Source organism: Homo sapiens, chromosome X (assembly GCF_000001405.40).
Source record: "Homo sapiens chromosome X, GRCh38.p14 Primary Assembly".
Lineage (NCBI taxonomy): Eukaryota > Metazoa > Chordata > Mammalia > Primates > Hominidae > Homo > Homo sapiens.
In genome coordinates, this window is record NC_000023.11 from 31958897 (window position 1) to 31984729 (window position 25833).

The 25833-nt window shown below is 34.8% G+C and overlaps 1 protein-coding gene across 20 annotated transcripts in view; it reads right to left on the minus strand.

Moving 5' to 3' along the window:
* DMD (dystrophin) overlaps positions 1-25833 on the minus strand; it is a 2220167-nt gene that overhangs the window by 839675 nt on the left and 1354659 nt on the right. For all 20 annotated transcript variants that reach the window (XM_006724469.4, NM_000109.4, XM_011545467.2 and 17 more), the window contains 1 exon segment: positions 9443-9618. In XM_006724469.4, coding sequence (XP_006724532.1) covers positions 9443-9618 — 176 coding nt within the window.

Consider the following 25833-nt stretch of genomic DNA (forward strand, 5'->3'; position numbering starts at 1 on the left):
CTGTATGTCTGATTTGCTTTCCTCTTTCCATTCAGTTACTCTCCTTTGTATTTCCTATCCTGACTAACAGCCTTCCATGCAGCCAGTTCCCCCAAGCAAAAAACCTGGAAAAGGGATCATCCTAGAATTGTCCCTTCATTCCCCTCATCATCCCATCTACTTAACGACTAAATTGTTCCACTTTCATCAAGTATTTCTTGAATCTGTCAGGTTTTTAAAGTTCTATTCTGCTTACTCATTGTCTCTAACTTGAGTCACCCTGCCACTAGTTTCACTCTCTTTTTTTCACTCTGAGCTCAACTGTCAAAGGGACATATGAGGATGCAAATCTAAAGCATATAAAAACGTCCCAACATCCTTATATTCTACCCTGGAAAAAATTCTTTGAGATTTCAAATCTTCCATGACCTGGTCCATCTTGACAATTTCATTTGTCATGGCGTCATTTTTCAGCCTTCCTACATATAAAAGGAAGTCCCCTTATCAAACTTGATTAGGGTAAGTGGATAGGCGGTTTTTGGAAAAATATTGTAAAATTGGAGGGATTATATAAATGTGTTTACACATCTTCAAACATTTTATTTTTCTTAGAATATACAAGTGGTCACTCATTTACTTCTCATTTGGTATGGGGTCCGAGACTTTTCCTGGAGTAAAAGCCCACAGGTTGAAGTTAAGCATATTACTTTTTGCATAAAACACTTCTACATTTCATAATCTGTGACTTTTAGTTTGGTTTCTTTGAATTACAGTCAGATTTGGAGATGCTGAAAATAATCTCAATGCAAAATACCTCCATTTTTTGGGGATTCTATCCCTCATACCCAATCTTAAACAGTTGTCTTACCTACATCTAATTCAACAGCACCGTGGTTTTTTTTTTTTTTTTTTTTTTCCTCACTCTGTCACCCAGGCTGGAGTGCAATGGCATGATCTTGTCTCACTGCAACCTCCGCCTCCCGGGTTCGAGCAACTCTCCCACCTCAGACTCCCATGTAGCTGGGACTACAGGCCCACGTCTGGCTAAGTTTTGTATTTTCTTAGTAGCGATGTGGTTTCGCCATGTTGGCCAGGCTGGTCTCGAAATCCTGACCTCAGGTGATCCACCCATCTCGGCCTCCCAAAGTGCTGGGATTATAGGTGTGAGCCACCGCATCTGGCCTTTTTTTTTTTTCTAATCACCTTTATCAAGTCTTCCAAAGCATTCAATTTAGTATTCATAGAAACCACAATTCTCTTATCTTTTCATTTCTATTTCATTAGTTTTCATGATATTTAATTAAATAGGACAATTTTAATAATAAGAATAACTTGCATAGCCAGGTCAGGAACCACAGACTGTTGCCTCTTGGAGAACATACTCTCAAATGGTGGGAGCCAAGGTACATGGTACCAGAAAGGATACTTGAACACCTTTCAAAAACATCAATAGGTTACTAATATCCATCAATAGGTTTGGAGTGGGAATTGGGCAGTTTATATGTAGAAAATGAAGAGTTTAGGGTAAGTCAATGGTGCTTGCTTAACAGAGCCTTTTTATACTGAACTGTGTATAGTCCTTCAATGTAGGCCATTTTTTCTTGCTTCAGTGATTTTGCTCCTGTCACTTTTTCTCTCTGGCATGTCCATTTACTCTTCATTTGCCTCTTCTCATCCTTTAAGACCCATCCCAGAGATCACGTTCCCTAACAAACTCTCCCTAACTCCTACTTTCCCAGGCACATAAAGTTCATGGAAGGCCACAAATAAAGTACATTCACTTGTATATCTCCACACAGTGGTATCATCATTACCAGCCAATGCAACAACATATTTGGTGCCAGCTAGTCTGTTTCACTAGAACTAGCCAAGTTGAAAAAATAAAATATGACATAAAACAATTAACTATGAAGCTGATTTTTCATAGTCTTTTGATGAAGAATTATGAATGCCCTTGAAAGCTTTTCAAGAGTCATCAGAGAACAGATGGGAAGAGACCAGCTTTTCCATTGACACCTGTGAATAATAATATCTGTATGATTCTCTCTGATCAATCTAAAAATAGCTCTTTGGTGATATGGATTGCATCTAAAACATCTTGTGGCTATATGTAGGATGAGGCTAAAACATTCAGTTTCAGGGCTAATTCCTGCTTAATTCACTTAAAAGGTATTAGTTGAGATACAGTGAGAGTAGGATAAACAAATGTACAAAATGTTTGAATCAAAGAGCTGCTTTTTGCCATAACTAGCTAAATAAATTGAAGTTACTTGTCTCTTAAATGTACTAAATTCTGAAGAATACCTAAAATATTATTAACCAAACTCCTTCCATTTTTTTAAGACTAGAAGGGATCAAGGTCAATTTCTAGAATTGCAAACGTATCCATGGAAATGTGATAACATGATAAAAACAGAAAAATTGGTCTGGCTCTTTAGATCTATTTTTAATCTATATAATAATGTCAAGTGTAAAGATTTAAATCTTCAGTTTAATCTGAATGTGAATAAAATTCTTACGATTTAAATTAAGAAAGTACTTACTGGCCATCTACAATATATCAGGCTTTCTGGTAAGTACTGTGGGTTATAGAGATAACAATAAGAGAGTCCTCTGCCCTCATGAAGCTTTTAATCTTGCTGGGGGAAAAGCATATGTAAATAGGTATGATACATGATATATACATACAATATTACATGAGTGTTATAAAAAGGGGCAAGAAAACCTTAAGAGAATAAACTGCTTATGTTTGAGAAGAGCAGGTCACAATTCATTGAGGTAATAGCAGTTAAGATGAGTCTTAAGGGATGTGTAAGATTTTGGGAAAAAAAATAAGGGGAAAGAGAATTCAACCAAAGGAAGCGGTTTTTTTTTTTTTTTGTCTTGTTTTTTGTTCTTTGTTTTTTTTTTTTTGCAAAAGCTGAAGAACAGAAAACTTCAGGTCATTCAAAGCTTCAGACATAAACAGAAATAGTGGAAATTATGAAAAACAGGGTTGGAAAGATAGGTCAGAACAGATTCTATGTTCAATTCTTTTGCTACTACGTGTGGCCATCAAAGGTAAGGAGAAGGTTGGTAGGAAGAAATTGCAAGTGTATACCAGAGAATCCTGATGGACAAAACTGGGATAAATAATGCAAAATCTGATCTAGAGTAAGGACTCCGGAGGCAGACTGCGGGACTGCATCCTGGTTCAAATACTTGCTGGCTGTGCAATCTTGGGCAAAGAGTTTTATCAGTCTGTGCCTTCGTTGCCCTCCTGTAAAATTAAAAGGAGAATAGCAACTATTTCATAGAGTTGTTATAAGTATTGAGCTACGTAAAACACTTGGAACAGTGCATGGCAATATTAAGTGTTATCACCATCACTTCCATCACCACCCTAACCGTCATCATCATACAAAGGTCTGCATGAGGTACTATAAAATCAAATATCTATGGAAAAGCAATTAATATAAATGAGCAAAGTGGGACAGGTGCTGCAAACTGAGGACAAAGCTTGCTTACCCCAGGCAATGCTTCTCAAACTTTAATGTGCCCATGAATCACTTGGAAACTTGGAAATCTTATTAAAAATGCTGACTGTTATTTATTAGATTCTGCATTTCTTAGCAACTCCCAGGTGATGTCTGTGCTCTGGACCAGAGACCACACTTTGAGTAGCAAGAAAATGAAACATCTGTTACTCAGTTGTAGGTGATGGTGCCAAGAGAAAATATAGTAATGAGTGCCTAGTAGCCAGATCTAAATTTTCAAAAGAAGACAGAAATCCATATTTTTTTAAAAAATGAGGTCTCTCAATTTTTAAAAGTTGTCAATTATTTAAAAACAGTGGCTATGCAAAAATACTGCATGCATTCAGGATTCAGCCTGTGGGTACTCAGTTTCCAAACTCTGGGCTGGATGGAGAGTCAAGGTCTAAACTGGCAATGAGAAAAAAAGGAAGTTTGAGTACAGAGCAAGCGGACGGGACAGATCCTGGGGGCAAAATGTGAATGTGTGAGCAGGCTTGTAGCACTGGTTCACACGGATATACTGGGTACATTTAACATATTGCACACACTGTAAAGAGCCATTTGAGTCATTAAAATATTCGCTTTTAATTTGTAGGAAATAAGATGCTGAAAAGCTATTTGGTTGAAAGCTATTTGGTTGGGGGTGGGGTCTGAATTTGTAAGAAGCCAAAGTTAAAGAAAACTTAAGAGACAACAGTTGTCTTACAAGGAAGCGCATAGAGCAATATGAATTGCTAATGGAGACTTTCAAGAAGAGGACCAACCAGGCCTACTTTAATGAATTAGATAAGGCTCATTTCTAATCAACAGCGTGTATTTGCATGCAAACAATGAGCTAAGGTCTTTAAACAATAATTTCTTCCTTTAAGTACATTTACGAATGCCTCCCATTATCTTATTTACACCATTAATTTGCATGGCAAACCAGCATAGATTATATACTAGTACATTTTGGTTTAAGAATTCAGAAGTAGAGAGGTTTAAAGGAGTAGTAACTTAATGACCGTACATGAAGTCTCACACAAGAAGGGCTTTTTAACATGTCTAGACTTACTTTTAACTTCCATGTATTCTGAAAGAGATTTGTCAAGAATCATTTCCAAGGTAATCTGAAAATATTATCTCCTTTGGGACTGCTTGCCAGAAAGGTGCACACATTCCATTGAGAAGGGGCTACTACCCAGATGTACGTTTCTACGTACTATTCACCTCTAAAAGTAACCAGAGTTCCTTGAAAAAAATGGGTAATTCTAAATCTGGGATAGGCAAAGTCCAAGGTGAGCCTGGGACAATTGAGCAGGAAGCTCTGGGCAAGAATAATAACTGTAATTCATAATAATATATTGAATAAATAAAAATTTATGAGTCCATTTTGACATAAATATAGAGGAAAAACCTTTTTTTTTTTTTTTTTTCAAACAGAAGAAAGCCAGCTGGTAAATGTTAAGATCATGTCAGATTAGGAAAACCTCCATTTTGCAAGCCCCAGTGTAATAACTGAGTTAGGGAAGGATCATCAATGGATACTAAAGCCATTAGATGATTTATTAATTGCGAAGAAAAAATGTGACATTATAATGCAAGATCTGTCAGTCACCACCTGAAGCAAGTAATAAAACTTTGCAGCATTTAGTGAGACTACTTCATATGATGCACCTCCTGATGTGACGTAATACAAAATACACAGCATCTCATATGAAGTATTCTCGCCAAACATGTTTGACATGCATCTCTTGAAGTCTTATTTAGACCTAACTTCCAGTTTACTAGAAATTCAGAGACTACAGAACAAGTTAAATCATCCCATCAGGGGAAAAAAAATAAAACAAATCCTGAAAGATGAGACATTTTTTGAGGCTAGCGTCCTGGACATTTTCAAATTTCAATATCGGTGAAAAAAATGTGGAAGGGCTATTTTAGACTAAGAAGGATGAAAAATAATAATAACCAAATGTAATGCATGAGCCATGATAAGATATTGGTACTAACTCCCCTGCAAAATATAAAAGACATTTTTGAACTATTAAGGAAATATGAATATGGAATGGATATTAACAATAATGCAGTATTATATTTAATTTGGAGGAGAGCATAATAAACAGGCATGGTTATATATGGCATGTCTGTATTTCAAAGCGACACATGCTGAATTATTTAGGGGTAAAATATAATGGTATTTATAACTTATTTGCAAAAATGTTAAAAAGTGTGTGTGTGTGTGTGTGTGTGTGTGTGTGATGCCCTATATATGAGAGATACAGAAAGAGGGTAGAGAAAGCGAGAGAAAAAAAGCATATATGGCAAAATGTTAACAATTGTTGACTCTAAGAATTTAGGGGGAGGAAAACAGTGTAAATGGGCATATGTTTTGCAATTGTTTCAATTTTTCTATATGTTTGAAATTTTTCACAAAAAGACTTGGGGAAGGAAAAAATTCAAAATTATTTTCATTAAGGTAACACTTAAATTAAAACCACTATTCCTTAATGCATATTAGTAGAATAATTGCCTTATCTGTGATATGGGATAAGCAATATCAGACTTGTCTAAAAGAAGAAAGAATTATAATGTTTTGAAATCTTAATTATTATTGCTAAGGATTATGATTCAGAGGTTCCTCAATTTAGGAATTCCACTTCCCACTGCCTTGCTTCCGTCTCCCATTCAAACTTTTATCAACTGACATTATTCTAAGTAAAATCCTCTTCATTATGTTGTCAGCAATCCATTGCTTGAAGGCCTGGCTCCCCAGAACCCCTCGACTGGTATGTCTTCTCCTAGAATACTCCAGAAGAAAAGGAGTGTATGAAGATAGTGACTGCACATTAAAATGACTGAAACCATAGTAAATTAGGATGAGATTCTGGGCAGATAAACAGACAGCTGGCTAGGATCATTTTTTTATGCCTTGGACTTCTTTGGCAATCTGTTGAAGCCTGACATTCCTCAGAATAATGTTTTAAAGCCCAACAATAAGACCCTGTAGCACATATAATAAGTACTGCAGTTTTGAAGTAGTGATAAGCATAAATGATATTTTGATATATTTATTATAACTGTAATGAGATGTGTACATATCTGTGACTTCATAGGTACTGATTGTACTACTGTGATTTTTTTGCCTACTTTCAAAATGAAAAGGAATGCTTAATTTCAGTTAGAGGTTAGTAAAGACAAATAGGTAATTTTCTTCTCCAGTGAAGAGCATGGCGCCCCTTGCTATTCATGGACGCTTGCTTAAAGACTTGTACACAGGCTTGCTTTGTATCAACCTATGACTTCCCCTTACAGCCGATGATAGGTTTTTATTTGCACCTCCTTCGTGTACAAAGACAGTTTTGGTGGCTACGCCATCATTAAACTCATTATTATCATGCTTAAGCCTATAGATGTATCCAGTTCTTCTGTTACATAATTGAAGCTGTAGTGAATTGTCTATCTTAAACTGCATCGCTAACTGACTACATTTCACACTTCATTTGCTTCCAACATAGACTAACCTTCTTGGATGTCCACTATTATTTGAACTTTTGAGATTTTTTTTCCTATTTCTAATATCTTAAAATTTCAGAAGACTTAAAGTTTTGCAACTACAGGGCTCCATATAGACATCTAGCTTGAATTTATACACTTTCTTTCATTGATGTCCCTGGACTAAAAAATGTTAAATATTTCTAACCGCTGTACTTAAAGTCCATTACAAACGAAGACTACTGTTGTTAAGTTGAATAGGCATCTTATATATTTTTCACCGGTGCAATAAATAACTTCTATTCCCTTCTAACATCTGCTTGCGTTGCACTGAGAGTACACTATTGATTAGCAATAGGTTCGTGATTACAGCCCTTCTATAATTAATTGTTAGGTTAACATATTATTCATAAAATATTATTTTATTAATTTTTACTTGATTTGCTACTGGATGCTTAGAAATAGCTATGAGTATATTGGTAGAACCAGTACTTATATTTTATTACATTTTTACATTTCATAAAATTTAAGTGATATAAAAATCCTGAGGAAGTATGCCACAAAAGTGGTCTCAGTGGAAATTTAAATATGTTAACATTTATTTTTAAAATGTAGCGTGAAATAGACAACTTTAAAAGCTCAGCTTAAAAAAAAAACTCAAGGAAGCTGAACTTGACTTTTTAAAGCACTGAAGTGCAATATTTAATGTAGGTCAACATGTTTAAATGGGAAAATTTTTTTCCTAATTACAGCCAAATCCCTAGCTGTAATTAACTTAAAATTTGTATACTATTTCACAACAGAGTCAGCATATACCACTTTCTTATAAAATTAGAAAGATCTAAAATTTTAGAGCTTATTTGGTGAAACAGGCATATTGCTACATCTTTGTTTATAAATTATAATGTGCCTTTAGAGCCCAATAACAGATAACAAGATTTTGAAAATTCAGGTGAATTAGAGTTATCAGAGGGAATGTTAATACACTCTATTCAAATACTATATGAGTAAGACATTTAAAATAGGAAACAATACTTTATATATTATAGAAAAATAATCTTCCAGTCGATTTAATCCACTTTATGAATTCTCTCCGTATATATATATTTATAGTATGGTATTCAATTTTTTTAATTTTCTCATTTCTTACCATCTTAATTTGGATTAGATTGAGCCTAGTTCAGAAATGACATTATACAGGTTTATACCTGTTCATAGTATAAGCACATCAGTTATCTAAATAATAAAATACTTGTATGATTAAGAGAAGAATTTCAATCTGGGAAAAAAGTATATGACTTACCTAAGGAAGTAGTTTAACTACAAAGTTTAGTTCTTTATTTTATCTATCTATAATCAAGAAGATTTTCAAAACCAAGACTTAATTATTCAAAATATCTTTTGATGAGGCTATAATTCTTTAACTTTGGCAAGGGGTGTGTGTGTGTGTGTGTGTGTGTGTGTGTGTGTGTGTGTGTGTGTGTGTGTGTGTGTTTAGGTCAACTAATGTGTTTATTTTGTACAAAATATGAATTGTATCTACTTTCTGAATAATGTAACATGAATAAAGAGGGAAAGAGGAGGTGGGCAAAGACAACTGACATAATTCCAAAATCTTCTTTTTAATACATCTTAACGAAAGATATTCATCAATGAGTTGTTCTAGCTTCCTGAATATTAAAATCCACCTATTATGTGGATGATGGGTGGGATGCAAGAGCTTGGCAAAAGAACGAAGTTTTCATTGTTCATAACAATAGTCTCATTTGGTAAATAAAGGCCAAGTCTTCCTTTACGAAACAAGACACATTAACATCAACAACTGGAAGCATAATACAAAATCCCATTTATAAACTCTCTAGGCTTTCCAACTGCAGCAGCACGCATTTGGCTTTCTGTGCCTTCAATACATTCCAAGGGAAATTTAAATGATGATTGAATTTGACAGTAACCTTTTTGAGGTTTTGTTTTCCCCATTAAACTTGTACCTCTTTGGCTCAAGTTCCCCTTCAAGAATGTATTCACAAATGTGGTGAAACTAGAGGTAAGTGACACTATCACTTTTTTTAGCTTCATAGTCATATTCATAGCTATTTTTAAAACTAAGCAAAGATCTGTCTTTCCTACAAAACAATCATTTATAATTGCTTTCTAAAATCTTCTTGAAAAACAACTGAGATTCAGCTTGTTGAAGTTAAAATATATTGAAGATATTCACCTTTAAGCAATCATGGGTGATTTTTAAAGCAAACTTCAAGTTTAAAATAGCAGAAAACCACTAACTAGCCACAAGTATATATTTTAGTATATGAAAAAAAGAAATAAAAAATTTCTTTACTGCTGTTGATTAATGGTTGATAGGTTCTTTAATGTTAGTGCCTTTCACCCTGCTTATAATCTCTCATGAAATATTCTTCTAAAGAAAGCTTAAAAAGTCTGCTAAAATGTTTTCATTCCTATTAGATCTGTCGCCCTACCTCTTTTTTCTGTCTGACAGCTGTTTGCAGACCTCCTGCCACCGCAGATTCAGGCTTCCCAATTTTTCCTGTAGAATACTGGCATCTGTTTTTGAGGATTGCTGAATTATTTCTTCCCCAGTTGCATTCAATGTTCTGACAACAGTTTGCCGCTGCCCAATGCCATCCTGGAGTTCCTGTAAGATACCAAAAAGGCAAAACAAAAATGAAGCCCCATGTCTTTTTATTTGAGAAAAGATTAAACAGTGTGCTACCACATGCAGTTGTACTGGCAAAGAAAGAAATACAAAAGCTCCATGTGAAAATTTCCCTATGAAACTGACATGCCCATATCCAAAGGATACAAGACAGAAAGACACCTTTTATGTGTCAGGGAAAAAAGCACCCTCTCGGTTAGCTCCAGTTTTTATTTTTGTAAGCTTGTCAGCTAGAGGATGTTATAATGTCCTACAAATCAATTAGTTGGAAACCTTTTCAAGAGCAAATTCGATTTCTTGTCCCCACAAGGATGTTCCATGTTTAATAGTCTATGAAATGTTGTAAAATTTAAACATGAACAAAGTATTTGGGTTTCTTAGTGATCGTGGATACGAGAGGTGAAAAAGAACAAACATAGGTTAGTCACAGTATTAAAAAAAAACTCTAGAGATATTTAAATAAAATTAATTGCTATATTAGAAGAAAATTCATTTCAAATTCTGTCTGCGTCAATGTATTTTGCATTAGAAGCCACAAAAAACTGAGAATTAATTGCTTTCAGGAGCATCCCATCAAGATATCCCTAAGCTACAGTAATAAATTTTAAAATAATCTATAGTCACCAGAGCATTTTTATGATTGTCAAGCTTAAATATTGTTTACTTTTTTCCTGAATGAAATTTTAAGAGTAAAGTATCAGAAAAATAGCTCAATTGAAAAGGAGAATATTACAACCAAGTACACACAAAAACAAAAATGCTTTTTACCATTAAATAAAAATGGCAATTACGTTCTATTTAACTTTTTAAAAAAGATAATCTAGAATTTGTAAGGCCATTAAAATAACATATTAACTAAATACGAACCTTAGAAAATGAAATAATATCTGAGAACTTGAGGTACCTACCGTATTTAAATCTGAATGACTCAAATCCTTATGTCACTGACAGAATAATGTGCGTATGTAGAAAACTCTCCTAATAGATGTGATTCATATTCTCTAATATTTTTGTATTCTCCTACTCCTTGACACAATAGCAAGCTGACAGTAGACCCCAGTACATGCTTCCTAAATGAAGGAAGGAATGCATGTTTTCTGAGACTGAGGTAAAGCTCCCTTAGACTCTCGTTTCACATACATTTCTTGGCTTTTTTCTTTTTCTACATTCAAGCAAAATTATTTTCGAATACTGGAAATTTTGGTAGCATACAGTTAGCAATTAAAATACTCTGTAAATCAGCAAACCGGTGACACGGTGCCTCACAATGAATATAAAACTATGCACAGTTACTGAACTATTCACAAGCTGTCCTGGCCATACTCTCTTGAATGCCCATGAGATGTGCTCTAGTAAACATGTGATATTTCCTTGTAACTAGTTGGCTTTGCTCCATTGCTTACATCTCACTCTTTACCACCTGTTCAGATCAGCGTTGCATGTGACAGTCATTGCTTAGTAATAGAGACACCAGTCATAACAAACTGTGTCTATATATTAGGTTGGTGCAAAAGTAATCACGGTTTATGCCATTACTTTTATATCATAAATTCTTTGAGGTCAGATATTGTGTCTTATTCATGATAGTTTCCTATTGTTTAGTACAATGTCTGATGCATGGAAGGTTTCAGTAAGCATTTGCTGAGTGAACGCATGAATCTATGAATAAGGGAAGTGGGGAAGAAGCGGAGGGAGGAAGAGAGGAAGGAATGGAGGAAGAAAAGAAGGGAGGAAAGGAGAGAGGTAGAAAGAAAGGAAGGGAGGAAGTTCAGGCTCATCATCACCATGGAGTCATTAGTATTAATACCCATTACTGATCCTCCTAGAGATTCAAATAAATAAGCACAATTTTCTAGGTCTTAGGCAGTACATAATCTAGTTGAAAAAATAAGACACAGTTGCAAGTGATAATTTGTTATACTACATACAGTAGGATAAAAAAAAAGCAAGGTGATCAACAAATGGTAGGCCAGAAGAGGGATGATCTCAGTGAAAAGGATGAGCGGAGGAGACTTCTGGGTCAATTTGGAATTTAAAGAATCGTAGAACTTAGGCATATGGAGGGTTAGAGGCAGTGAGAGTACGGCAGAAGTTAAAGCCTGTGGTGTGCAATCTCCATGATGTGACCAAGAGCATAAAACTGGGCTCTATGCCACTGTATGAGAGCAGGCGTTAGGGGAGGAGTACAGCCCTCGGTGTATATTGGGGCCTGGGCAGAGAACTTGAGGCAACGTAAATTATTAAGGCAACATGAACTATTACATGAGAATCACCATTGTTTTGGAATAAACTGCATCGTGCAAGCATCAGTGACTACTGAAATGGGAAAAAAATTTTGCCTAAAACATAGATGTCAGGGAGGTATTTAGAGAGTAAAGACCATGGCTCTTATTTGTTCCTTCAAGAGTGTCCAATACTTACAACTATTACTTCATACTTTTAAAAAATGCATGGGCACACATCAGATGTATACCATAGCGGTGCTTCCTAGACTTTAATGCGCATACAAATCTCCTGGAGATCTTACTAAACTGCAAGTTCTGCTGCATTAGGTCCGTGGAGGCACCAAAATTCTGCATTTCCTACAAACTTCAAAAAAATGCCAATACTGCTGGTCCAGGAATACCTCTTTGAGTTGTAAGGTAATGGAGTAAATGCCTTTTGAGTCTTTGTTAAGCAATCAAGGAATTCTTATTGCTGCTTATAATGCTATAAACTAATGCTGCAGCATTTTTATCTCAGCCTCTTTGCTTTGTAGTTTTGATCTTGGCACTTTTGCTTCATGGCTGATGGCTACGGTGACTTTTACAACCTAATTGTGGAATCAGCAATGGTTTTATTATTTCGGTTTCCCAAATAAGAGATAGAATTGAACAGCTAAGAGTGAAGCAATAATTTAAAATTGTTAGATCTAAATCTCATTTGTATAGAATCGCAAATCAGGGCTTTCAGGTTTTTTTAATTTTGTGAAAGAAGAGCTCATTACACAGTCTACTGCATTTGTATGAGAAGGTTTTGCAACCAGGAGAAATATTTACAGTGCATGGCCTGCTCAAGGAGAGTTTTCAGTGATAAAGCATAAGAAAGAAAAATAAGGGATCAAAACAGAAAGTAGTAGCTTGTATGTGGTGTTTTCTGAGCTGGAAAAGATAACACTGGGTTTACAAAATTAAATGTAAAATCTCAATCAACTTTATTCACACAGTGAACAACATTAATTAATTTTAATTCTATAGCTTCTAAATATTTTAAGTACTGAATTATTCATTACCAATAAAATTTCCAAGCTTTGATATCATATTAATGTACTGCTGTCATAGGCATTCTTATCTATTTCTCTGGCAATTAACATCTAGTCTTGGTTCTGGACAAAAAGAAAATCATAATTAAATCTGTTGGATTATTCATCATAGTTAGAAAGCTTATTGTGTTTTGATTCCAATATTAAGCATTCATTCTTAATAAGAAGTGCATATCTAACTCCCGTGGGGAGCTTTTCAAAATATAAAAGCCCAGAATTCCATTCTAAGTCTACTGAATCAGAATTTCTGGGGACAAAGGTATATGAAAGAGATACACTAAAAAAGAAAGGGGAGGTTACAAACATGTGCAGAGAGTTGGGAAGCAGGAAGGACATGTAGAATTACTATATTATTTTCAACTTCTCTTCTGCTTTTTAAGTCAAAAGCTGTTCCTAAATTATAGAAAATAACACTGTTACATATCTAAGTCCTTCAAGTCTGGTCAAATTGGGGGAAGGAAAGAGGAAACATAGGCAAAGAAAGAACTGCTACATTTTTATTTTTATACAGGGAAGGATATAAGAAAAAGAAACCACTACCTTTTCTATGAAAACATTACGTACATTTTTTTAAAAGTCTATTTGTAAAACTTTCCAAAACTGCATGAAAACACAATAGATGAAAAATAGAATGTGACAAATGAAGAAAAGGAATAAGCTAAGAAGCAGTTATAAGAAATTGTACAATGACAGATTGGATGAATTATGTAGGAAATAAAAAATTGGCAAAAAATCACAAACTAGGGAGCAAGATAAAAAAACAGAAGAGATAAAATGCAACTGGAAGAAAAGATAAATACAGGGAAATAGAGGGAAGAAAAAGGAAACTTCATTGAACAAGGAGATGTTTCAAGAATCCAATACTGAGATTTACTTGTAATTTTGTTCATGAATTATTTTGAGACAGGTAAATCATTAACCGAGTTTACTGATTGGTCAAGAGAAAAGATGTAATAAAATGAAATTTGGGAGAGTTGTGAAACAGACTTTTATGGTGCAATTTCCTACAAATATGGTGCTTTATCTTGTTTTTTTATCCTAAGGTCATTCTCATTGTGTCTCTTCGTCAGTGCCAAGAATTCAGGAGTTTGATATACAGTTTCTGATACTTTTTTCAATGATAAATAAAGCAAGTTAACCAGTCATGCTAATTATTAGAAAATATAGCCAATACTGTTTTCAGAGATTTTAATGTGCTTCAGCAAGTTTCTTTCAACTTCTATCGGATGATGGATTTTTGTAAAGAAGCAAAATAAATGCACAAATACTCAAGGCATATGCTAAGCACAGCACCAGGACCCATTCAACTTAGCCTGTCCATAGACTGAGGGATTCCGTCTTGGTGGAAGGTCTGATAACCTTGTGGGAGCACCTGAGGATAGTCAGAACAATTGAAAGATGGCTAAAATTGGGGAAATCTAGCAGTTAGGAAAATGGAGAGAAGGGCAAAATAGTATAGAAAAAAAAAAGAGTGGAAAAATAGTATAGAAAAGCAACTAGGAAGGATAAGAAAACAGTGAAAAATGGCTGAAATAAATGGCCTTTTTTTGAGTAAAGAAAGAATGAAAGTTATAGGAGGTAAGAATCAAGGTCAAGGAGAGCTCAGAATGAGAAGGACAAGAATCCAGTCCATATATGAAGTATAAGATAATATCCAAACATGTTAGTACAACAGGGAGCATGGAAAGGACCATCCTCCTCTTCTCCCCACTGCCTTCTCGGCTCCGTCTCCTGCCGCTTCTCCTCCTCACTTTCAAGCTTAGCTCCAATGCCCAGTAAAACTGAGTAACTTTCTACTTCCTTGACGATACTGTTAAGTTGTATAGGACAAATTCGTTACTCATCTTTAATAGTTAGCATAAAAGTACCCTCTTTCTAGAGGACTTTTAAGAGGCCTAGGGGAACTAAGTGCCCCTCCTTTGTATAGGTATTTATAAAATGTTTCCATTTGTGTCATTCTCATATGTTTTGGACTTTACAGCTGAATATTAAGCATGACCGAATGAGGGCTTTCTTCTCTTGAACAGAAAATACATCTCTAAATTTGAACGGCACTACAGATTCAACTTTTAACTAAGGACCTCCAGATCTTTTATTAGTAATTTGCAAGGAACTCAGTCAAATAAAAAGGTCCTGTCTTGTGCTATTCACAATAGCAAAGACATGGAATCCATCTAGTTGTGAAACAATGGTAGATTGGATAAAGAAAATGTGGTACATATACACCATGAAATACTACATAGTCATAAAAAGAATGAAATCATGTCCTTTGCGGAAGCACGGATGCAGTTGGAGGCCATAATCATAAGCAAATTAACGCAGGAACAGGAAAAACAAACACTATATGTTCTCACTTATAAGTGGGAGCTAAACATAGAGCATATATGGACGTAAATATGCGAACAACAGATACCGCGGACTAGTAGATGTGGGAAGGAGGGAGGGTGCGCATTGGTTGAAAAACTACTCATCAGGTAGGTACTATGCTCACTGTTTGGGTGATGAGATCTGTACCCCAAACCTCAGCATCATGCGCTATTCCCCTGTGACAAGCCTGTACATGTACCCTCTGTATATAAAATAAAATTTGATTATTTTAAAAAGGAGCAGTCTTTACAATGAACGATCAGAAATAAAATGCACCTTTTTAGCCTCTTCTTTCTCCTGTTATCTTTTTTTTTTTCAATTTCAGTAAACATTTATTGTACCTTACTAATACAAATGCTGAAACCATACAAATGTGTGTGTTCATTTGTTACAGGAACTAGAGTCAGGAGCAGGCCTTGTTAGATTTCATTTAATACTCTCTTTTTCCTGTGAGGTATAATAGTAGATATGCTCTTGGTACAATTTCCCATCTGCTCCTGATAATGGTTGCTATAAAAGAATAATGAGAATTCCTTCTAAAACTAGAAATAGACTGTTTATTTTCCAAAGCAAACATCCTGCCAATGAACTGAAGGAAAATTATGTACAGTAGCAATTTATTTTAATGGGACATTTACCTAATATCAAATTGTAATGAAATTTCCTTTTGATGTATTTATCTTATTCATATCAATTATATATATATATATAGATTTGTTATTATCACTGCTATTAATGTGTATACCAAAATTAATTCATCATAAAGAGCTTTAAGTACTACATGTTTTGTAAGGGTATCTTGGGTTGTTTTTCTTTCTCTTCCAAGAAATGCTGCCCTGGGCCAAAAAGAAAAAATCACGTGCTCCTCAATTTCAAGCAGAGATTCAATACAGTGTTACCTAAAGTGAGGAAAATATAAATATGTTAAGTTTTTGCCCTCTGAAACTGAGGGCTACATTTTAAATCTGGTCCCAGACATGTTTTGGCGTTAGAACTTTGTTTGATTAATGATTTGAATGCCTTTAGGTGGGGCATGAAAGCATTCAATCATTCTGTAAAGGCATTTGAATTGGTGGCTCTTGTTTTAAAGAAAACTGTTGTTACAAAGTACAGAACAGAACTTTGCAAAGCGAATAGGTTTTAGTTTGCTAAAATAAATGTTAGCTCTCTCTACGTTCAAGGATTTATTTAATCCTTCTCGCCTTCTAACTCATTCATGAGAACTTCAGGACAAATAGAAAACATTTAAGGGCTGTGTTTTTCTCTCCATTTACTTAGATTTGCAAAGAAAACAAATTGGCCTTTCCCTGATAAAAAGGCATCTTGTCCACAGCTGTACTTGTTTTCTTATTAAGTGATCCTGGTTATAGAACATGTGACTTCAGGCATAAAATTCTTTCTACATGATTACTAGCATGCCTCTGAACACATTAAATGTTTCATCGTGGAACATATTGCACGTAACTCAAAAAACACTGTCTCAGGACGTGATATTCGAAAGGAAGCATAGGTCATTTTAAAATTTCTAATTTCTCTTCTCTCTAGAGGTATTATCAATTTGGAGCCACATAAATACTTCTTCAAAAGCCATTTGGCGGGTAGAGGGTGATACAATATGTATGTGTGCATATAGAAAAAGCCAACAAAATTGTTTTTCAAAAATAAGACAATGTGCAAGTCAACTTGATTATACACTGTAAATATTTGATGGAAGTATCTAATGTCATTGGTTCTAAAACCCTGTAGTTCTCTACTGGTATTTGCCATGCCTATATTTTCACTCTGTAAGTCAATTATTGATTGGATACCTCCTATTAGCCAGACACTGTGGAAGGTGCTAGTCATCATTCTCTGCTGGAGGATGAATGGATTGGAGGAGCCCGGGAATAGAAGTAAGGAGACCAAGCAGGAGATATCATGGTAGTTAAAGTGAGGAAAGATGGTCGCTTGGATTGAGGAGGAGTCAGTGGCAGAAATGGAGAGAAGTGCATGGAACCAAGTGGCATTTGGAAAGTAAATACACAGGACTTAATGCATTGGAGACAGAAATGAAGGAGAGAGTATCAATCAGACAGTTGAAGATACTGGTCTGGAACTCAGAGGAAATATTAGGACTGAAAATATAACTGAGAGCATTATTGGCAGAGCTATGTCTAAAATTTATGATGTGAGTTTTGCTCCAAATGTGTTTGAGTCCCTTATTTTTATTGAAACGATTCTGGGCAAACTCAAAGCTAGCAATCATAATCCAAACATATTTTGGGAATCCCTGAGTATCTGCATGATGACTAATTTTGTCATTATTGACATTTGCTACATCTAATATGTATTATTTTCATTTGCTGGCAGAGAGATTAATATCATAATTAGCATAATGTAGAAAATTGAGAGGCCGTATGATTCCCCACAAATTTGAAGAAAATAGAATATCGTTTTGATGAAGCTGCTTGTGTTTTCCTACCCTAACTCCCACCCACCTATTAGTTAAAAAAAATGGTCAAAGGTGATTTCAAAATATGTTTTGAGAAAGTGTTGTGCTTTAAGAGAACAGAATTAAGCTTGTTCCTTAATACACTTCTATTCTGTGTTCACAAGAATTCCATGGGCCTTTGCTGTGGCATAGTCTTTAAATGCTGTCTAATGTAGGTAAATTGTTCAATGCAGTAAGTGTTCTCTTTAGTGTGACTGACTCCAACAAATATTTAATTTAGGGTAACTACTAGGTGTCTCAAGTTTTACAATGATAAATAAGCTTGTATTTTCTTGTCAACACTCTCAACTTAATGGGGACACCCTAGAAAATGCTGTGTTACAATATAACTATGGCGATTGCTTTGAGAACAAGATAGATCAATGAATTTGGCGAAATGGTAAGGAAAAGAAACAGACAAGTTGAGGTAATTACTATTATAAAGGCCTTAAAGACAGTCTTTTCCCCATTTCCTATATCACCAAGTACAGCGCTGAGCACTGCTCAGCTTAATAATTGCTTAAGAAATATTTGTTGATAAATTGAGCAGAAAACTAAGCAAGATATTATAATCTTCTTGATTGCTTTCTCATTCTGGAAAGGGTCAAAAGTAACTTTTTGAAATACATACAACAGCCTAGAGTGAAAAAGAGACATTTAAAAATAATTGTGTTTTTATCAAAGTTTCATCTCCTACCACAAATAACAAGTTATTAAGGAAAGCTGTCGTTTCTCAGGCTCTTGAGAATGGGAAGGCCTAGAAATACGATAAAGAGGGATCAAAGCAGATCTCTGTGTCTAACATCAATTAATTGATTTTGAGCATTTAGCTTAGATTACAGAACCCCCAAGACATCAACTAACAATCCACATCTAAGCACATGTTGGGCATCACTAAGCCTTATATGTCCCTCTTGCCAAGTTATACAGGCATTAAACACAAATTACTCTTTTATTTTTCCCCAAGCCTTAAGTTCTGAGGTTAGGTTTCTTGTTTTCCAACTCATTATCTGTTGTATGGTAATACTACTCTCCTTCATGGAATTAGATGAGAAGAGGTGATGATAAAAACAATTGTGCCTCTCTTGTTGACTGGGCACGCCCTCTGCAAATCAAAAAAAAAAAAAAAAAAGAATGCACAAGCATGGATTCACTCCCCATTATCAGTACATTGTACAATATCAATGATCTGTATTTTATTGAACAATATATAAGCCAGAGGAACCTAAGGATAAAGCAGACAAATGACATAAGCAAGTCATCTGTTAGATTTTTCTCAATTATTCATGTGAATATCTAAAAGGTTAGGGATATTTGTAAAAGAGTGGTGAAAACTATAGGTTTTACTTTCTTATCAATTTAGCTTGTATGAAGGAAAAGATTAAATTATCAAATGTAAATCTTTTCTAATTTTTTTCTCTCTAGGAACGCTTCCTTCTTAGGCTACCACGTAGCATTTCAGGACCTTTTCATTTGACTGAAACCTCAAAGGAAATATTTTCAAGCCAACATCCACTTCACTCCTAAAACTGGTTTCTTATATTCATTACATTATTTATTTGAATGACATCTGTATTTTCCAGTATGGATACCAGCAGTTCAACTTTGTTTTGTCCCTTTTTTTTTCATTCCTCCAATCCAAATTCTATTTTACTGATCCTAATTGTTATACTTCTTGCCCGGTTGATTCCATCGTTATTGCTTTTCCTCCAGCCTGGTTATTCATTACACTTCACCTATGTTATTAATACACCCTCCTAACTGTTTCATCTCAGACTCTTTCACTGCATAACATTCTACACAATCTTTCCAGATTAATCCTCCAGATGCATAGTTCTTCTGGTGGATTCCCTGCTCAAAAATTTATACTGAATACTCAGTGCCTGCCTGTTGAAGCCCAAATAGCGTACATAACATTCAGAACCTCATAGCATCCCTGAGAGATACCTTTTTAGGCTTCTTACAATGACTTTCCAATTCTTCATCCATGCTTCAGTGCAATTAGACAACTCACAGTGACGTCCTGGTCATTCTCCAGACCTTTGACTATTCTCCATCCTCCATCATGTGTGTCTTTACCTCTACTTATGTAATCCTTTCATTCCAGTTGACTAGACCATGAGATCCATGAGAGCAGGAACTGTAATCTTTTCTCACTCTAGTGCCTAGTAACGTGTTGCTACCTGGCAGTGCTCAAAACATGTTTGTTAAATGGATAAAGGTGTGCCCCAAATACTAACTCTATTGTGAATACATTTTCAAGCAAAAGTTATCTATCCTATAAATTGGGAATACATTTTCAAGCAAAAGTTATCTATCCTATAAAATCATACTGTACTTGAACTGTATCTACATAATGGTTTTTCACAGTCTATAAAAATTAAATTTTGTTATTATTAGAGACAAGGACTCATTCTGTCATGCAAGTTTGAGTGCAGTGGTACAATCATAGCTCACTGTAGTCTCCAACCCCTGAGCTCTGGTGATCCTCCACCTCAGCCTCTTGAGTAGCTGAGACCACCGGTGCATACCACCACACCCAGATAATTTTTAAAATTTTTTTGTGGAGACAGGGTCTCACTTTTTTGCTGAGGCTGGTCTTGAACTCCTGGCCTCAAACAATCCTCCCACCTTAGCCTTCCAAAGTGCTAGGATCATAGGCATGAGCCACCATGCCCAGCCTAAATTTCATTATTTTGATTGAAAATTTATGATTGTCTTTATTTCAGGGACATTGTCTTCTTTACCTTTGAGGTCTCCACTATGCTCATCAGTTAATTTGTTCTTTTTACTAAATGGCTAAATGAGTGACTGAGTTTCTTTTACTGGTATGTGGTGAAACTGCAGAATTTTTATGCACGTTGAAAGAATCTCTAAGAGCATAGCACATTTGGTAAAAAGCATGATTAAATTCTATTTCTGTACTTTTAAATACCTACTAGGGGTCTAGCAAAAAAAAAAAATAGTGCTGATGCTGAAGCTGGTCAAAGACAATTCAAATGTTCTGCACTTCATATTAGTGGTGGGGTTGCCAAGGAACAGAGCTTTTACAAAGCTAATGCCCTGCTGCTCAGGCAGCAACACTGCATTCTAGTAGACTCTTCAGATAAAGTAAAAAGAAAAGAAACAAAACAGGAAAATGTCTGTCATTCCCAGTCTTCAAGTTATATGAATGACCTCAAAATGATACTATTTTCACCCAATAATCATAAAGGTAATAATCTTCAACACACATAATCTATATGAATGTCCAATAAATCCATGAAAAGATGCTTAATAGTGCTAGTAATCAGAGGAATATAAGTTAAAACCACAACAATATACCTACATATTCTGTAAGATAGCAAAAATTAAAATGACTGACAAGACCAAATATTGACAAAGATGTAGAGTAACTGGAACTCTCCATCATCACTGGTGGCATTGCAAAATGGCACAACCACTTTAGAAAACTGTTTAGGTGCTGTTTGACAATATCTCATAAATTTAAACATTTCACCCAGCCATTCCACTTCTACAGAGTTACTCAAACTAAATGAAAACATATGCTCACAAATGGCTTGTACACAAATGTCCACAGCATCTTATTCATAACAGCCAAAAACTGAAAACCACCTGAATGTCCATCAAAAGGAGAATAGATAAATAAATTGTGGTATATCTATACAATAGAATATTAATCATCAATAAAGGAATGAACAGCTGATACACTTACATGGATGAATCTCAAAAGTAGTATGCTGATCAAAATAGTACATTTTGTATGATTTCATTTATACAAATTTTTAAAAAGACAAAACTAATCTATGGTGATATAAATCAGAAGAATAGGTGCCTATTGGGGCTGGGAATTGACTGGAAGGTAGCATGAAAAAGCTTTCTGAGGTAATGGAAATTTTTATTTTATTGAGGTGTCACTTTATCAGTGGGACCACTTCACAAAAGTTAACAGATTGAGCATTTAATATCTTTACTAACTTATACACCTGCCACAGTATAAGTTACTGTCACACCCAGTAAGAAAGCGTGGAAAATATATTAGATGGCAGAATCTGAATATTATACAAAGTATCTTGACAGATTGAAGTTCTCAACTAAATATGACAGGTTGAAATGTTATGTAAGAACAAACTCTTCCTCCTCTCCCAAATAAGTCTGTTTCATCTTATATAAAATTTTACCTCAATTAAGAAATAAAAACAATATCATTTTTAACTGCTCTCCTTACTTACACAATACCTTAGCCATGCTAACAATCAGGGCATCCAGCAAATCTAAGTACTTTCTCTCTCTTACTTCACACAGTACATATGGACCCTTCTTATGCAAGAAAACAACTAACTGAAATAGGCTGATTGCCAAACCTCAGTCATTTGCAGACAGAATTTAAAAGAGTTCAGAAGACTAATCAGGTTATACAGGAACAGACTTCGTGAACCATCAGGGATATTATACAATTCACCCTTTTATCCCCACACACAATGATCAATTTAGACAATCTATAAGACGAGTCAAGTGGCATCTGTCTTTCAGGAACACACGTGTGTATGTGGGGGTGTATGTTTATTAGATTAAGAAGGAAAAAGCGTAGAGATTCAACGATCTTGAATTTCAAGAGAAAATGGCTCAAGAAAGCCTGTAAAAGCTCTTTAGAATAAAATTTTGACAATATAATGGCAAATCATCCCAGTGAGTATAAAACAAAGATGTGTGCCACTGTATGGACAACCTCAAAGGTGCTCAGATTCTAATAGAGTATGAACATGGGAAGAAACGAGGGACAGAGAACTGAGGGCAAATATTAGAAGAACAATATAGAACTGTATAAACAGTGAGGAAAAGCTGAGCTTGGAATGAATTGAGGCTCGTGATAATGGTAAAGACAACATTCAGGGCCTTTTTACTTCCATTTGGAGGAAGAAGAACCAGAAAGACGAAGGTTCACTGATTGGGGCAGAAGGGAGAAGGTTAGGGATAGAGACGACACAGAAAGCAGCAGTGTGCAGCTCCTTTTGCTTGTCTGCTCTGTCAAGGAGAATGTTCATCAGACTGGAAAAGGCATAACCGTATAAGGGAAATGAAGCCCAAAATAGGTGAGGGAATTTTAAAAGAGCACCTTGCTGCTCTAAATGAGCTAAAATCTCTGGCCCTGGACCAATTATATTCTAGGGAAATGAGAGAACTTGCGCAATACAGTCCTACCCCACTGTCAGTGGTCTTTGAGGAACTATGTTAACACTGCAGATGGGCAAATGTCATCTCGATTTTTAAAGACAGGAAGAGGTCACTGCGACTGTGTTCCATCAATTCCTGCTAAAGAGCATTTCTGAATGATGGAACAAGGAGCAAACAAACACTTGTTAACAAAGACAACGTGGAGGCAGCTAATTTGGGTTTGTATGACAACTCGTTCTTACACCAGACATGTGTGCCTGTGTTTGCAGTTGAATCTCTTTTGCAGTATGAAAATTGAATTTCACATTTCTAAACAACTTAAAAACCACTTCTTTTTTTTTCCAGCTAATGAAAGTTAAATTTTCTTAAAATGAAATAACCATATAAATAATGAATTGTGTTCTGTTGTACAAGGAGCAGCATGACATCCAGTTGCCCACCACCTGAAAAAGTTTGAGGTCCTCTGGCAAATAATGGACAGAGACAATGATCTTATACGTGCACCATTTTGTGTTATTTGACATGGTGACAATGGGTCTCCTTTCTACAAGAACAGAACAAGAGGAAATAAGATTGCAGAGTAGTTGGGGAACCTACACAGGAGGGAGTCTTCCGAAAAGAGATTTAGACTGTATCAATATCCAGAAAAATGTCGAAGGTGATTTTTGGAAAATGGCATCATTGTTTACATTTATTCTTTTGGTTTTCTTCTATCACTTTTAGTGGATTTTTATAATGAAGAGACATACGTTTATGATCAGAAAAAAATAACCCTCTACCCATTTGGGAAATAAATTGATATAATCTTACCAAAACAAGGTATTTTTTTCTGGATTTTTTTATTCAAGAGTGAGAGAATAGATAAAATAGTCTTTCCCAGTACTGTATATTAATTATTTAAATATGATATTTTAAAATAAAGTTATCATACTTTATCTACTATGGTATCAGCACCTGTAGACATAATTTACTACCATATTTGCATTAGTACATATTACTAAAGTTTTTCAGAGATATGGCCATATATAGTGGGTAAAAGATACCAAAAATCATAAATAACATTTTATTCTTTCTCAAGTAACATTATTCAGCTCCTCTAATATAATTTCAGAGCTTTTGTTAATGGTATTTTTCTACATACTAGTTTTGAATAAATTCATGTCTACCATGAACTATCTAGGGAGAAATGTTGTTAAAAATGCTGTTACAAGTTCCATAAACTTAGTTTACTTGATATCTTATAAACATGCTGCCTTTTGCAAAATACAGATTACTACTGAAATCAGGAAAGCTTAGAATTATTAAGACAGACGTATTGTAGGGAAATAAGGGAAAATTGCTCTAATTTTGTTCTGACATTCAGAATATAAAGATAATAGGTATTATCATGATGTCAACATGCTCCATCAAAACTCCCATTCAATACCATTCTTTTTCCATATATACTTACTTTTTTTTTCCTCATCCTTGGCCTTAATACAAAACTCAATATTTCATTTATAGTTTGAAATTTTGTTACATACTACCCTAATCCTATGTGGATTGAAGAAGGGTATAAATCAATAAAACTTAAAACTGAATTTTCTCCTTTAAGCAGTTTAGATATTTTAATTAGTAAACACAAACAAATAAGGTTAGCTATGTATTGCACATTTAAAGAAATATCACACTGTCAATGTGAAAAGAAATTTGTAAGGAAAAAAAAGAACAAAGATCAGTCTGGGACATCTGCAATACATTCCAGATTCAGGAACAACAAGTTAAGTATCTACCTACTCATCTTTTCTGGCATGATCTTCTGTTAAAACAAGGAAAGGCAGTTACCATACAGAAATGTTGATTTTGTCAGACAGATAAAGACATCACTAATACTATGCCAAAGAATAATTGCAATTATCTTATTGTGATAATTTATTGCTTTCATATACTTCATAAAGTGCTATCAGATGATTGTTCCATTTGAGATCCACGTGAAGTATGAGGTCAGAAAAATGTGTTATTATTCCTAGGGTAAAGACGAGGAATTGGGGGTCTAAATATTTGTCCAAGTTGTCCTGCAGATAAAGGTCCCAGGACCAGGCCCCAGATTGTTATCACATTTCAGTGAGATTCCCATTATTCGGTACTGGCTCTTTTCTGACTCAAATACTTAGATATTAAAGAGATATATGCGAGACATGAAAAGTAGAAAGTACAAAAAAATCGGCAAGTTGTACACTTTTAAATTATTGTGAAAATAATTAACCAAATACTTCATAATTATAGATGTTTTTGGTAGAAAAAAGATGATTCGATACTCACTTTCCTATTAAACATCTATTTTGTCTTTCACTTTGATAATGCTGTTATCTTCAGTTAAATATAATCATTATGTGAATAAACAATGTGGATCAAAAAAGAATGAGAAATATCAACCCAGAATATGTTTGAAGCTGATTTAAAGAGGACAACAGCATCCCTAGATTAGATTACATGTTTTTGTAAAGCTGCTATATTAGAATGTCATGCTGACATGATTCTTGATAATGTATTTAATGGGTAAAGTATGCATAGTGAACATTTGTGTAGAGTTCATCACATCTAATTTTCTGTTTTCTTTTGATACACGAAGGTGAATGATGCAATTGTGGTATTTCTGCTGTTGAACTTAATGAAAATTCTGTCCACTATCAATCAAATAGATCTTTTCTCTTGTTTGTTGTCCAAACAAATATGTTCAAAAGTAATTCATTTTTATTGAAAAGTCTTGTACTCACATGATGAAAAAAACACAAACAAGGCTTTAATTTATTTCACATGCACTTGCTTGCAAGCTATACACTGGAGAAGAGGGGAAGTTTAGTTTTATATTTATGTAATTCAAGTTATGTAGATAGACCAG